The sequence below is a fragment of the Homo sapiens genome, chromosome 2 (genome assembly GCF_000001405.40).
Source record: "Homo sapiens chromosome 2, GRCh38.p14 Primary Assembly".
NCBI lineage: Eukaryota > Metazoa > Chordata > Mammalia > Primates > Hominidae > Homo > Homo sapiens.
The window spans coordinates 181,062,476-181,078,395 of record NC_000002.12 but is presented as its reverse complement, the minus strand read 5'-3'; the positions used below and the strand labels follow the sequence as shown (position 1 = coordinate 181,078,395).

At 36.0% G+C, this 15,920-nt stretch overlaps 1 protein-coding gene across 5 annotated transcripts in view; it reads right to left on the bottom strand.

Annotated features, from left to right (window-relative positions):
• Nucleotides 1–14,970: 14,970 nt before the first annotated feature.
• Nucleotides 14,971–15,920, bottom strand: part of UBE2E3 (ubiquitin conjugating enzyme E2 E3) — an 83,066-nt gene continuing 82,116 nt past the window's right edge. For all 5 annotated transcript variants that reach the window (NM_182678.3, NM_001278555.2, NM_006357.4 and 2 more), the window contains one exon: nucleotides 14,971–15,605. In NM_182678.3, coding sequence (NP_872619.1) covers nucleotides 15,508–15,605 — 98 coding nt within the window. In that variant the 3' untranslated portion in view covers nucleotides 14,971–15,507. The remainder of the gene's footprint in view (nucleotides 15,606–15,920) is intronic.

Below are 15,920 nucleotides of genomic sequence, written 5' to 3'. Positions count from 1 at the left end.
TTTAGAAAGGTTATTCTCTAACCTTTTTTTCTATGTATTCTCTTAATCTTTATTCACAAACATACTTTTTACATAGTTGTAACCTGTGTATTCATACAATTTAGAGGAAATCACTAGTTAAGGCCTAATATAAAGAATTTATGCAGACTTCTCTTTAAGGAAATTATACAGTGTAAAACTTACACCATAATCCTCATAGACCTAAGAGTTTCAACCATCAGACCAAATTACAACTTCCTTTCCTTCCTTCTCCACTTGAGTAAATGAACTAATACGAGGCTCTCTTTAGTTTGAGTTCACTGTCCCTAAAAGAGTATATGTAAAATATTGTTATCTTCTTGGTTGCTTAGCATTATTTTTATGCAATCATTATAAAATCTTAAAATTATGAATGCAGATTCTCAAATCTGCATAAAACAATTTAAAGTTATTATCAAATGTCTTTTGCACAAGTAATTTTAGTACTTTTTCCTGTATACACTTTGCTTTTTAAGTTTTCTGGTATAAACGTCCCCACAGTAACTTAACCAACTATCTCATCGTTCTTATTCCACTCTTGTTGAGCTTATTGAATAAGGAAGGCATTAATACAAATGACAGACTTCTTCAAAGGACATCTGCATCTAAGTACACCATAAACACCAAAGGAAAGGCAGCATTATCTAGGTAGAGTAGGGTCTGCAATGAAAGAAGTACCAGTCTGGTTCCACCATACATCGACTGTGATTCATCTTGGTCCTATCGTTTTTGCCCCATGCAATTCAGGTTAAGTCTACTGTAAAAGGAAGATCTTATTAGCATTCTAATTCTTTGTGGATATGATGGCAAAAAAGCAAGAATATTCATAAGCATTTCAACATCCTCAGATGAAAGATACTGGATTTTTTAAGCAGAAGATTTCATTTGTTATTAATATTCATTAGGATAAATACCACTTATTACTAACTTGTCCTACTAAAACATCTCTGTATCATTCTGGTTAAAAACTATAAATGAGTTTACCTTTCCAGTACGTTTCAAGAACAAGTCTGGAGAGCATGCTAAACTGTTTTCATTTAGTGACACACTGACATCTAGTGGAGATTTATGGTGTGTGAAAGGATATCACACACCCAAAAATAACCACAGTTCTGATGGGGCAGAAAGAAAAAGCACCTTTTTGTTTTTTATGCAAGGCATCAAGAAAAAGATTTTTAAAAGATTAAATAAATGTACATTTCTTGTATACTTAAGTTTTGCTTGTTCAATTAGAAACACTCGCCAATTCACAAAACATAAAAAGACGGAATATTAGAGGTGGGAGTGGTGAAAAACTGTTTCATGTTGTGGTTTGAGAGATCCCAAAAAATATCCCACTAATTCAGAATCTAAAGGAGCAACATGTAATTATGTGCTCACTTCCTATTTACTTTTTATAGTGAATGCAGGCAACGGTGGAGGGAAGAAAGGAAGAAGGAAGGGGAGGGGAGGAGAAATGAGGGAAGGGGACATAGGAGGCAAGCCTTCCAGGGTTTCCACTACATCCCTTGAATTAACTTCTGCACCTCCTTGTGGTTAGAATTTTATTAATTCCAGAAGGAAAGCTCCTTTAAGCATATATGTAAGCTATATGGCATGTCACTAAGCATTTATTTAAACCTGCTCATTTAATATACTGTATTTACTTTGGAATAAAAATATAAAACAAAATGTTTCTATTACCCTGGGCTTTCCCAATGCAGCAGCATCAGTAAAAACATGGCTTCTGTGTTTGCTTTCTGTCCTTCCACAGGTAACAAGAAATAAATGCTAAGTGGCCCCAGGAGGAAGTCAATTTAACATCTGCATATTTTATTTAACATATAATTATTTTAATTAGGTAAGATTAACAATTATTCATTGGAAAATTATCACAATCATATCATATCAGGTACAGTACAAATTAAATCTAAAACGGTGTCCCCTCCTCCCCCTTTAGGGAACCTGGGAAGGACTCAGAGTGCCGATGGTGTATTTGATATACATCAGCCTATTTCCTTGTTTTCTATTGAACTTCAACCACTGGATGGAACTTCTTTACACCACTGTTTAATTGCTTCATTATTCCAGTGAGCAGGCAAGGCTGAAGAGGAGGAATTCTGGAAGCTGGAATAAAGAATTTATATTTGTACTGCTGTGTGCTTAGCCTCTGGTTCTGGAAGACCTTTCCACCACACCTCTTCTGAAAAAAAAAAAAAAAAAGAAAGAAAGAAAGAAAGAAAAGTGAAAACATCTTACTGTTGGCCTGGAGGAAACATGGAACTAAAAGAAATCCTCGAGAACTAGGAAATGTATGATTTTTCTCGCGAAGAATGTGTATGACGTTGTTCCTGCCACACCCAGAATGCTAAATTCTTTAATTCACTCTTTCAATTATGTCTGGAAATAAGAATCATCATCCAGAAATCATTAGACCAGCTCTCAAGTGTAAAATCCTAAAAATATATATATTCTTTTTGAAACAGGGTCTTGCTCTGTCATCCAGGCTGGATACAGTGGTATGATCATGGCTCACTGCAGGCTTGACCTCCTGGCTCAAGCAATCTTCCTGCCTCAGCCTCCCAAGTAGCTTGACTATAGGTGTGCTGACTATGCTTGGCTAATTTTTAATTTTTTTTTTTTGTAGAGATAAAGGTCTTGCTCTGTTCCCCAGGCTGGTCTTGAACTCCTGGCCTCAAGTGATCTTCCTGCCTCAGTCTCCCAAAGTGCTGGGATTACAGGCATGGGCCACCACACCTGGCCCTAAAATAATCTTAAGGCAGCCATGTTGCTTAATTATAACCAAATGTCCTTAAATAAATATGCACCACTGATGGTGTTGTTAAATTTTTAAAAAGAAATATACTCACTTATTTCCTTCTCAGCAATTAATAAACTTCAATCTTCAGAGCCCAGAGACAAAAACAAACAAACAAAAAAACAACAAAAAAAGATGCGACACAACCTATTAGCACAAGCAAAAACAATGTTCTAACAGTGAAGCTTCATGCTGCACTCAAATGCATAATTATCCATACAATTTAAAATTGTATATTTTATTGCTTTAAAAGTCTTTCAGATACTTTACACTGCCCACTGTTTTACCACGAAGTAAATTTTCCTTTCACTACATTTCTGCAGCGTTGTTCATTGTTTTTAGTTCAATTACATAGTTGAGAAAATTCAGGCCCAGAGAAGTAAAAAGAAAAAAATTCCTTGCTACAGAGCAAGGCAGCAAATAAGGCATTTGAAAGCTTACTCTATTACAGGCTGGTGGTTAAATTAATTAAACTATTCTGGCTCTGGAATTCAGTATTCTAAAGACCCAGAAGTCAGATTTAAAATATCAATTATTATTGAAGTGTTTTACTCACTAAAAAACTATTGTGATAAATCAATGACCTATAATTACTCCAAAAATATAACTAACATTTAAAAGTTGTGATCTCCATATTCATTTCTTTCAAGAGAAAGTGTCAAAATGTGTTAGGCCCCAACCCTTGGTAATTAGTTTTTGTATAAGTGTAATATAGATTTTATTGGGTATGCTCTATAGATGGTGATTTTAAAGATTTCCCAGCAGGATCCCAACTTTGGAACTAAGGCTGCTGTCCCTACAGTGCAGAAGAAGCAGATTCCAGTGATTCTCAGATAATTCACTAGTTGTTTGCAGGGGGGAGGGGGCACGTGTTTGTGTATCCTCCTAAATAGGTCTTCTAATTCCATTTTCCCAGGACATGCTGCCAGGTCCTAGACAGGAAATGAGTCTTCCAGACATGTCCAAAGTTGCAGATTCTAAGAGGTGGCTATTCAAAGATCAGTCCATGAGCAGGTTACATAAAATGAATCTAGAGATGTGGTCAGAGTACTTGTGCACAATATATTTAATCTCGGAGAAAGAATTTACAGTAATATTATAGAATCAATATCAATATTCCCACCACCAGAATCAACCACTTTTTGTGATCTTGACTTCCCTGGAAATGTTAAGAAAATAGAGCCAAGTCTGACTTACAGAATCTGAGGAAACTTTATTGATCTCTTTATACTTCCAGCATTATGAGAGTAGGCAATACAATGTTTTAACCCAACCAAGCTCAAAGGAGTAAACCTTTTTCCTGAACCATAAATGGGCTGGATGTTTCCTCCACATTATAGTACCATCTCCTAAATCATCCTTTATTCACCTCCATGACAATAATAACCCACAACTCAGTGCAGGATGGAGATGCTTTTGCTGTTTCTCTTCAGAGGTCCTCACTGGAGTGTTCTTATCTTCTTGTGGGCTTCTGGCATCCTATGATATTTAACACTCAGTGCCTCCCAAATGACAACATGGTTACATAAATCCTTCTTTGAAAATACATGAAGAGAAAAAATACATTTCTAGCTAATGACTAAGAAGCCTCTAACAAGCTGCAAGTCAAAAGAAATACAAATGATTTCTAATTTTAGTTAACAATATATAGGATTTCAGAGATGCTATTCTCTAAATACAGACTTCAGAGATACTATTCATGGCAATAGTCCAGCCAGGCCTTAAATAAGAAAACGCTGTTTTAGCAAGGTGCCTGAGGAGAAGTATTAACAACATGAAACAGGAAAGGTGACCAACATGAGATTTAAAATTCTCTGATCTCTTAAACTCACTTCATTGAAAAGCCTTCCCTCTGAGCTTAACTAACATCAGTCTGTTAACTTTAAATCTGAAAAGTTTGGGCCCATGTTTAAATGTGGCCAAAGTGGCCAAACAGGTGACCCTTGAAGAGCAACACAGGGGGGTGATGCCACACAGTGGAAAATCCCACACATGGCTTTTGACTCCCCAAAAGTAGTAGCCTACAGTGGACCAGGAGTCTGATAACGAAGTAGGTTAACACATAAATAGACTAATATCTACATATATTTTATGCATTCATGACATAACTATTTTAAAAAATATTTCTAGGGTACATGGTTTGCAAGTTTTTTCAAATTGTTACAAATTTCCAAAAGTTTTCTGATACATTTTGAAAAAAAATCTGCATTATTAAGTGGACCTGTGCAGTTCAAACCCGTGTTGTTGAAGGGTCAAATATCTTGTAAATCTTACTAGAAACATATCACTATAATAAAAATAAAAACATGTGGCACCATATGTCAAACTGATATACAGTACTTATCCCGATTATGTACTTGCCTATGCCTGTAGTGTCATTTTTTGAAGGTACTTACATATAGCTAACATGTAAGCTAAAACACTTCCAATACTCGAATTCAGCAAAAAAAAAAAAAAAAACCCTCAAAAAAGTATAAAGTTGCCCACTCATCAGTGAATTATTTTGAACGAACAGAAGGCTCAATTTCAGCACTGCCAAATGCTCTTAGGCACAGAAGCAATGCACCATCTGTCTTGAAGCACCAAGTATATCAATTCACATTTAAAATACTGGTGTGCCTAGCCAAGTATCTTAAGCAAACCATTTTCTGATGCTTGATTGAAACTTAACATGGCTAGCAACAAGGTTACATGCATCAATACATTCAACTGCTAGTAGTAAAATTATAAAAACGTCAGGGCATCAAAGAGTTGTAGTCCTATGAACAGAAAACCTTGAAGAAGAGTTGGTGAATTAAGGAAATGTTCTCAATGAGTCACTATCACTTTCTCTGAGGAAATATGTTTCAGTGATATACGGAACTGCTGCCCCTGGTAAGAGTGACTCTGGTATTTCACTAGGAAATGAATGCATCCGAAGCTGCTACTGAAATAGATGCTGCTTCATCCAGGGAGTACACTGATGTAATGACAGAAAGTGGAGTGTGGAGTTTATTCAGTAAACAACAGACAACCACTGAAGTTGAAGCAGGGACTGTCCTGATAAACAGTTTACTCTGGGAAGATTAATGTGATAGTGGTGTGAAGAATGGGTTGGTGTTGTTTGGATGAACAAGAGGATAACTTTTAAAAGATTCCTTTAGATAAGGAATAACCAAGGGCCTGAATGAGACAGTAGGAGTGGAAGGAAGAGAACAGAATCAAGACATGACTTCCTTCAGAAATAAGAAAAAAAGAAAGCAACTACCACTCTAAATGTGAAATATTCTAAAGCAAACTTGTCCAACCTGCAGCCCACGATGGCTTTAAATGCAGCCCAACACAAATTAGTAAACTTTCTTACATTATGATATTTATGCATGGGCCATTTCTTTAGCTCATCAGCTACCGTTATAGTGTTAGTGTACTTAATGTGTGGCCCAAGACAATTCTTCCAATGTGGCCCAGGGATGCCAAAAGATTAGACACCCGTGTTCTAAAGAATATTATTGTAATCTGCTTACGACAGTTAAGAGTCATATCCTATTTTTTTTTCAGATAAAAAGTACAGTTGGGCTTAAATGTGCAATAATCACAGCAAAAATATTGTTCAGAAAGACCCAATCAGGAAAAGAAAAAAAGTTTCACTTCTAAGTATTTAACTCTTGGCTTTCTAAGTTAAGTAGTTAAACCAATTAAAATTCCAACCTCTTTGCTGACTAGTTTTTCAGAGAAAAGCAAAAAAATGGCCCCACTTCTTACATATCAATCTTGGGAGGCAAGAAGTCAGGACAATAGCAGGGAAAGGTAAGCAGAAAAAAAGGTGTGAGCCTTGGTCATAAGCTGTGACTGCCTTATGGATTTTCTGGAAATGAAATCTGATCTTCAAATTCCGTACTTCCTGAGTGAGGTACAATCCAAAGGGAGAGAAGGCTTGTAACTGAGTCTTGCCACGGGACCAATGGTGGAAGTGAGGGTCACAGAAATTGGTCACTATGTCCTTCTCTGACCACCACATCCATAAAATAGAACAGGGAAGAATACTCAGTTTTCTAGAGTCATTTTTCCTCTAGCAAACTCAGGGACGTCATCTGCCACACCATCCACTGAGGCTTTTCCAAAGCTCTGTGTAACTCACCTTGGACACCCCTCTTCCTGACTAGACCATGATGACCTCTTTGGGAAACACAGCGTAACTATTTTTGTGTCCAGCATTTAAAGCAGTATTAACTTTCAGCAAATAATTGAATTTCTCTAGTTAAAATTGGTGTCAAGGTAGATTCTTCAATGACTTCAGGAAAATCACTTGAATGAAACAAAAATTAAGGTGCTAAAGATTCAAACAACTGCTAAACCATACCTGATGAAAAAGAGGAGCCATTCGAGCTGATATGGATGTTTTAATTGCATGTTCATTAACATGTTAACTATGAAATAAACGAAAGGCTCATCCAGATAGACAACTCAATCATTCATTTTTACACTTGACCACAAACGACTAGTTACTCTGCTGGACATTAATGGGTCACACAGATGTATGAACTGTCGTCTCCCCATTCTCACTTTCAGCCAATAACATCTCGTTTCATGGAGGAGTAGAAGCTACCAAAGAACTTCCTACGAACCACATCTACCCTCCAATCTCACCTATGCCCATGTCCTCTGCAAATTCACAACAAGGGCCAAACACCTCACTTGTACTAGATCCTATCCCCTCTTGCTTATCTAGGGGAACTCAAGAATTTGGTGAATGACAATGCTGCTGTAAGTGCTGGATGCTGCACTTCCCAAAGAGCTTCTGCTCTAGTCAGGGAGAAAGACAGATGTCCAAGGTAGTGCAGAACTTTGAAAACACCCTGAATAAATTATGTAGCAGATAACTTTTTCAAGGACACTGCTCCTCCTCCCCTACACCATCCACTTCCTCCTCTCTAATCTTTCCTATCAATATACAAACATGCTGTAATTTCTCCCATCTTAAAGAAACTCCAACTACTCCCTACTTCTCTATTTCACTGCAAAATTGTCAGGAGTCTCCAAGTTCTCTATTCCTTGTTACTTTATTCAATCAAGCTTTAATTTCATTGCTCCAACAAAATTGCATATAAAAGTCACCAGTGTCTAGGACTCCTGAGTTGCTAATGGCTATTTAGGTCCTTATTTTATTTGGCTTATCAGTAGTCTCTCATGGGGTAGATCATTCCCACCTCCTTGAAACTTTTTACTTCCCTTTCAGGTTATCACACTCTCCTGATTTTCCTTTCACTTCTTGAGCGTTCCTTCCTGGATTACTTTGCTGACTCATCTCTCCTCAGCCTCCTAATGCTGGGAGTGCCTAAGCTTCTTTCTTCTCTAGCAGCACTCATTCCCTTGAGTGAGTGATCATAGGTCTCACAGCTATAAATACCAACTACACACTCACGTGTCACAAATATACATCCCTGGCCCAGAACTCTTGAATTCCAAATTTGTATATCCAATCTTGCACTTCCATTTGGATGTTTAATAGGCATTTCAAACTTAACCTGTCAAAAACTAAGCTCATAATCTTTCTCCCTATCCTGCTTCACCCTCGAGTTTTTCACCTTGGTTAATGACAACTACAGCCTACTAGTTTGCTCAGGCCCTAAACTCTAACTCCTTTTTCACACCACATATTCAATCTATCAGCAAATCTTCTTAGCTCTATTTTTAACCAGAACCTGACCTTTTCTTACTACTTACACTGCCACCACCCAGGTTGAAGTCACTGGTATCTCTCACCTGGATTACTGCATTAGCCTCCTAACTGGTCCCCCTGCTCCCAATTCCTTAGCCCCACAGCAAGTTTTTCTCTGACTGATCAGATTCTAATAAATCATGTCCTGTTGCTCGTTGGCTAAAAACAGCTTCCAGTGGTGTCCCATCTTATTTAGAATACTAGCCAAACTCCTTAAAATGAAATACAAGACCCTATGTGATCTGCCCACCTGTCATCTTCTTGACCTGGCCTCCTATTCCTCTCCTAGTTGCTCACCTGCTCCAGCCCTCCTAAGCACTTGCTACCTTTTGAATGCATTGGGCATGCTCTTGTTACAAGATTTTTTCAGTTGGTATTCCCTCCGCCTGTAGGACTCTTTTCCTATGTGGCTTATTCCTCACCATCTTCAGCTCTTGACTCATTTTTTAGGTGAGGTCTTCCCCGACTACCCTTGTTATAACTGTAATTCAACCTCCCCTTTCTTTCTCCCTCACTGCACACACTATTTCCCTTCCCTACTTTGTTTTTCTCCATAACACTTACCATCTAACATACATATATGTGTGTGAGAATGTGTGCGTACGCACACACACACACACACATATATATATACACTTTTAAATTTTTTTGGTCTGTCTCCTAGCAATTGAAAGTAAACTCCATAAGGGTAGGAATTTTCGTGTATTTTATTCACTGCTAATCCTAAGCACCCAAACCAATATTCCAGTGTACACAACTAATAACTTACTGAATGAAATAAATTGGATCCCTTATTTCTAGGGGCTCATAATTGAGATGATATACATACACAAGTAAAACATTATATATGTCCTTAAAAAAAAATAACCATGGAAGAAAAAACATGGTGTCTCATGCATATTTAAAATGATCTTCACCATTTGAGAGTTCTGTGACCACAGCAAGAGTTTAGCAGAGGGCTAAAAAGTGCTCTTCAAACGATGATAAAGGAATCAGGTAAGGGGTGCCAGTGAAAGCCCTACAGTGTTATCCCCTCATACTCTTTATCTCATAAATTAATACTCTTCTTCATCACTTTGTAGATGAAAACTTGAAATGCTCATATGAAGACCTAACTACCCCAATCTCAATCACTAGAGAATCCCTGACTTTCCTTACAGACCTGGGCCCCTAGCTGTCAGGACTTAGTACCACACACCTCTCGGCAACCCATTCCTTCACAGATTTACCTTTTCCTTCTCTTGGACTAAGGTGGGAGCAGCCAACATATCTGAGTTTGCTAAGCTAACTTAAGAAATACTCATGGTGTGAGACAAAATAGAAGTTGTTGAAATTATACTTCTGAAACTAGGGTGCTTCTTACCCAGTTACCTTTCAATTCAACCTACTGGCAAAGAAATAACATGGGGCAATACAGAAAAAAATGACCCTGTGACTCTTCATCCTACTCCATTTCCCTTTTCTCCCAGAAGCGAGAAGTGAAAAACACACACACACATACAGAAAACAAAAAGACTTGAAAAATATTTCAATAAACGACTTCCAACATTCCAGAGTACTCCGTTCCACATTACCAAATGGTATACTAGTTCCCTTTCCCTAAAATATTTATCTTAAAAGATGTTCTCAAAGGCCATCAGTTTCCATTTCTTCTATTAGATTTCCTTAAAATACAGCAAGCAGATACATGTATTTAGTTGTTTTCTTTTTACCAATAAAAAAGGATAGGAGAAATATCCATTAAGAAGACAGTAATGATAATGAGAAATTATGTAAAATTTGTAGGACAGAAAATATTCTGGTGAATTTAAGGAAAGTTTAAAATTACAAGATTAAGTCAGTCTCTATTTTAAACACATTGTCATTAAGTAGGTTATATGAACAACCCATTGCTATTTCCCATATTTCAATTTAACAGTTTCAAATTTAACAATTTAAATATATATGGCACCAACCACATACAAAGCACTGAATCAACATGGGGAATTAAAGGAGACATGACAGATATGCTTCACATGGTCTCTGGATAACCTTATGGAGAAGACTTACACCCATGATATAATTATCATTCACTCAGCAAACATACATCATGTTACATATTGGGCTAGATACTGAAATAAGGAGACACAAAGCATAGATATTATCCTCCAAAAGCTCATTATCCAGAAATATGGATATGGAATAAAACTGAATAAAATGCCAAAACGCATGCTAGAAACATAGGGTACTAAGTGTAGTTTAAGATAATTATTTTAAAAGCATCAAATAGTATTAAGCATATTTAATATATAGAGAGTAAAACTTACTAAATATTATACTAATATTTTCATTGCTAAATCATCAGGAACATCTGTTCAGTTTGTCATTCAATAAAAATGGATATACATTAGCAAAGGGAAAAGTCTATCTGGACAGGGAAATGATAAACTGTTTAAGGATGTGAAAATGTATTCATCTCTGTATGTATCACAGTGCCAGAAAGAACCTTGTAATTAGCAAACACATAAAATTTGTAGAGCAGATAAACTCAAAGTGAAGATCAGCTAAGGAGTTATATAGCATAACCACCTTTCATCTCCCCCTACCTCCTTCCAAAGAGAAAAAAGAAAAAGGAAAAAGAATTCCTGGCTTTAGGGCACACATTGTTGAGGAAGGCACCTGGCTTGTTGTTGGCACTTGGAAATATGCATATACTTGATTCCCTTTTATTATTTCTGGTGTTTGTGAAGACGGCATCTCAGAGAAACAGACCAACAGGTATGTGAGAGCAGTGTAACAGAAAGGTTTCCATCAAAGGAGCTGGACTTGAGATAAACTTTAGGGATTAGAGATTGGAGGATTTGGGGAAAAAAGTTGCTTTTAGTGACCTGTGTTTGGAGGACTTGCGTAATTGTCTTTAGCTTCACCAGATTTCAACAAGGTAACCCTACAGATACGAAGATTTCGTGTGAACTTAAATTTCTGTAAATACATGTCAATGATAATACCTACATTTGTCAAAAATTCCTTTTGCTATGCATTGTTCTGTTTACTTCAAAATATATCCAGGACTAGGTACCAACGCTCTGCTGCCTAATCATGGTTTAATCACTCTTTCTCATGTATAGTTAAATTAACAACAAAGACTACTAAAGACTATTTATACTGTACTTGTGCCTGAATCTGGGTAATGTATTGCTTATTTTTTTTTTTTCAAAACTTAGCTTTTCAATATATGGTCTTATTAATATATTGGATGTTGCTATTTAAAAATCACCTTGGGCTTCCTGTTACATGAATTACCAGAACCACAGAAGCTGAGAGCCCAGCAGGTGGTAAACTGAAGTAAGAGAGATACTGCTGGAGTTCCAAGGACATTCCCTTAAGAGAAATGCTTATGAGTTTAGGAGCTCTCGTAAGAGAGTCAGGGAGAAAAAGAAGGAAGTGAGGCTTGTGTGTGTATGCCTTAGATATGATAGGTATACACCTTACAGGATCACTCCTCATTTCTAATTTAACAAGATTGATTCTGTTTGACAAAGACAAAGGCTTTAACATTACCTATTACTATCAGCAATGCAGTTATAAATGTCACTCCTAGTCATTCATTTTATAGCCACTTTGAAAGGTCTATCAGTTTACTCTGTAGAAACATCCCATTACACATTGCAGATACACATTTAAATCACTGAAGAACTTTACAAGAAAAAATTGACAAACTAGTTAGAAAAATTTTGTTTCATTTCAAATAATGAATATCTACTAAAATGTAATTGTAATTTTTACTTGGCTATTACTTGAGAAAATTTAGTAATTTATTTAAATATGAAACAAATGAATTTATTTGTATATTGTATTTACCTAAAATAAAGACCACTAACTGGAATATAAGTAGATAATGCTTATGTAGAACCATTATCTCACTCTCTTAAGACAATTTATAAACATTTGAGAAAAATAATTGACGTTTCACATCATGCCATAATTCTGTCCAAATAATTTACAATGTAAATGTTAACGAAATTGTGTTAATGTGGTGCACGTATATCACTATAATGTAGGTTACTATCTAAAGTCACAGGACTGAAATTGACTTAAATCTTACCATACAGTCACATTCTTATATTGTTGTAAGAACACTTAGACAAGTTAGTGGGGCAGACTCCAAGTTCTTTAAGTATGCATCAGAAAACACCACCTTATTAAATGCTTGCTTTACTTATCAATATAAATTTTCTAATGTGATTATGCAATATATGGTTAAATAAATTTGAAATAACATTATCTCATTTTCCAAACTGATAAAGTGAAATCTGTGATATTGAAAGTATTTCTATGACAAATATCTAAGGGAGAATACAAACCTACCTACCTCATATTCATTGCAAACAGCAGTTATATTTTGTAAGGTTCCATTTGAGACTAAAATAAAATATTAAAATAAAGATTTGCTAAAATGCAATATTGTACTTTATAAACTCCAGAAGCTATAATCTATGAATATCTACTTTTATAGGGAACAGTTATAACTTGTGTATGTGTGTGTATGTGTGTGTGTGTGTGTGTGTGTGTGCGCGCGTGTTCAATATAAAGTTGTGACGTTATAAACAAAAACTGCGGGAAAGCATGAAGGTGCAGGGGGAGAGGAAGTATCGTATTGGCTGTGTAATATAGAGCAAGTTATTTAAACTTGTCTATGCACACTGTCAACTGTCAACTAAGATTCATCAGTGTCTGCTCTCCTAAACCTCTTTAGGTGTCTCAAATGAGATAAGGCACATCAGTGACTGAACAGTGCCCTGGCATGCAGTGGCTCTCATGTCATAGGTTGATCTACTCATTAGAACACCAAGATACTACTAGTCCACTTCAAAGAGTAGCCTGTTCCCCAAAAGAAAAAGCAGGACAAGCACAACAAAATTTACAAGATTAAAACTACTGAGCTTGAGGGTCAACAGAGAAGAGGGAAATTATCCAATCAACTCTTCTGTCTCATATATAAACCAACTAAAACTCAAAGAATTAAAGTGTCTTATTTAAGGCCACAATGGTAGTTTGTGGAAGAGCTGCAAATATTTTAAGTAACCAATTCCCTCCACTTTATCCCACACCAGTATGGACACAGCCAACAAGTAAGCAAAATAGTTTGGCGGTGGTAATTAGGCTCATGGTAACTAAAGGAAGTCTAATCATAGCATCCCCAAACATCCCAACATTCAGTATGATTTAAGTTTTTCTAGCACCAAGAGAGAAGTTTATTACTCTAGGGTGTAGAATGTACAATTTTGGCAGTGGAGGAAAAACTACGGTTGATAAAAAACCTTACAACTTAAACGGTCTCCACTTGCATCACATTCACTTGGACTCCATTATAAATTATTAGTTAGGTTTTCACAGAGGTAAAGTCTGAATTCTTCAAAATAGTACCTTTGTATAGTGCTCCTCTGTAATAATGTTGGGGGTGGGGAGTTTAAGTGAAAAACAGATATGTAAGTGTAATTTTAATTTTACTCTGATATAAGACTTCTACTGACAAACAGGAGTCTGCTATTCTAGTGACACACACAACTACACGTTTTACTTTATCCGGAAGCATTTTTTATGTTAATATTTTCACTCTATACATTTTTAAGATGATACTTCATTTCCATATTGAGGACTGGAGAAGACACCTGCCCCATATACCACAACCTTGGTTACATGACCAGAGATGATTACCTTAGTCACAGGGAAACAAAACAAAACAAAACACCACCACCACACACAATTATACTCTGTTTAGCAAATCTAAATATTGCAAAGAAATTCTAACTTTCAAGAAATCTAACACTTCAGAATTACAACTAGAAAGAAGAAATTTAACCTTCTAAAAACCTTACAATTTGGTATTTTACCAATTGAGAAATAATATCACATCTGTACACTAACACAGTTCTAGTCTACCTTCAAGGCAGACAAAGATTTCTGTGTTCATCTCTGCCTCTGGCTGTATTTGCTGGCCACTTGCCATAGTAAGAATGGTAATACACAACATGAACATTCAAGACCAGGATTAGAAGTAAAAAGTGCATCACAGACTAGCTACCACATCACAGTTACCATCTGACAATATTGCCCAGTGCTGAACAAAAATCATCAATTTGGAAGCAACATGTTCCATAAGACATTACCAGATTCCTGAGTGAGCGAGCCAGGATTTCATATTCTTTTTGGCTTAAACATCATATTACCGAAGTACAACTTTATGTGTTTGAGACCAATGGGTCAAAATCCACTTTTGATTATTTAAGGTCATTCTTTCAATAACAAAGGAAAAAAACTCTATGCATTTAATAGGATTTTAAATGTTTTCAATTTAAGAATGGGTTTATTTGTGCTAGTCTTTAGTAATCTTCATAGCCACATTTTTACTTCATCAACAATCATCTCAGACACACTTTCTAACAAGACTGACTTAAAATATTACGACAGGAAACTATGCCTTCAGGAGCATGTTTATTGTGTTTGAGATGATACATCAGGTGCTCTCTGAGCTACAAAGGGTAAAAGGAAATCCTCTCATTACAAACTGACAAAGGTAAAAGGTAAAACATTTTTCACAACAGCATGAACCACATACTCAGAAATAGATCTGGGTTTAATACAAATGACATAATTCCTAGCCATCTACAGCTACTTTTATAACTTCATACAGATAATGAATTAGGCTAAAATGCACTATAATATTTGGTAGACTTCAGGACCAGTATCCTTAGTACATCACAAAATACATTTTGATATCCCAAAGAAGCAAGACTTGCAAGTAGGCGTTTTAAACATAACTAATCTACAGCTACAAAGTTCTACTCTTGATAGCATTTACCTTTTTGGGGAGTCTCCCAGGCTCCAAAGGATAAAAGCAGAGTAGAATCAGTATAACATATACACAGAAGTCCGTATTGTAAAGGCTATAAAGATTTGCAGCACAGTGAGAAGATGCCTTCTGCTCCTTCACACTGCATACAAATTATGTGAATTATGTTGCGTATCTCTTGGTCCACTGTCTGGCTATCCTGTCGTGTTCTGCTCTGTTGGTCAAATACTGAGTGGCTATGCTTCCAACCAGAGGATCCGCTGGAAAAGCAGAAAGAACATTAAAAGCTATTTTGTGGTATCTTCTTCAAGGTATAGTTCTAATATTCTATTAAAATGAAATGCTTATTTTTCAGCAGTATCTTCATATATAATAGCTAAATTTTCAAAAGAAAAAGTTTAAAGTAACATGATCATATGTATATTTTAATATTCCAGTTAGGAAAGTCCCCTTCATAAAAAAAAAAATGAATTTTGAGCTATATATAAAAAGTTAGATTTGACTTTTATAAAAGATATGTCTTTAATATACAAAAACTATTTTGTAATTTTGGCCTTTCATTCAAAATGGAAGTA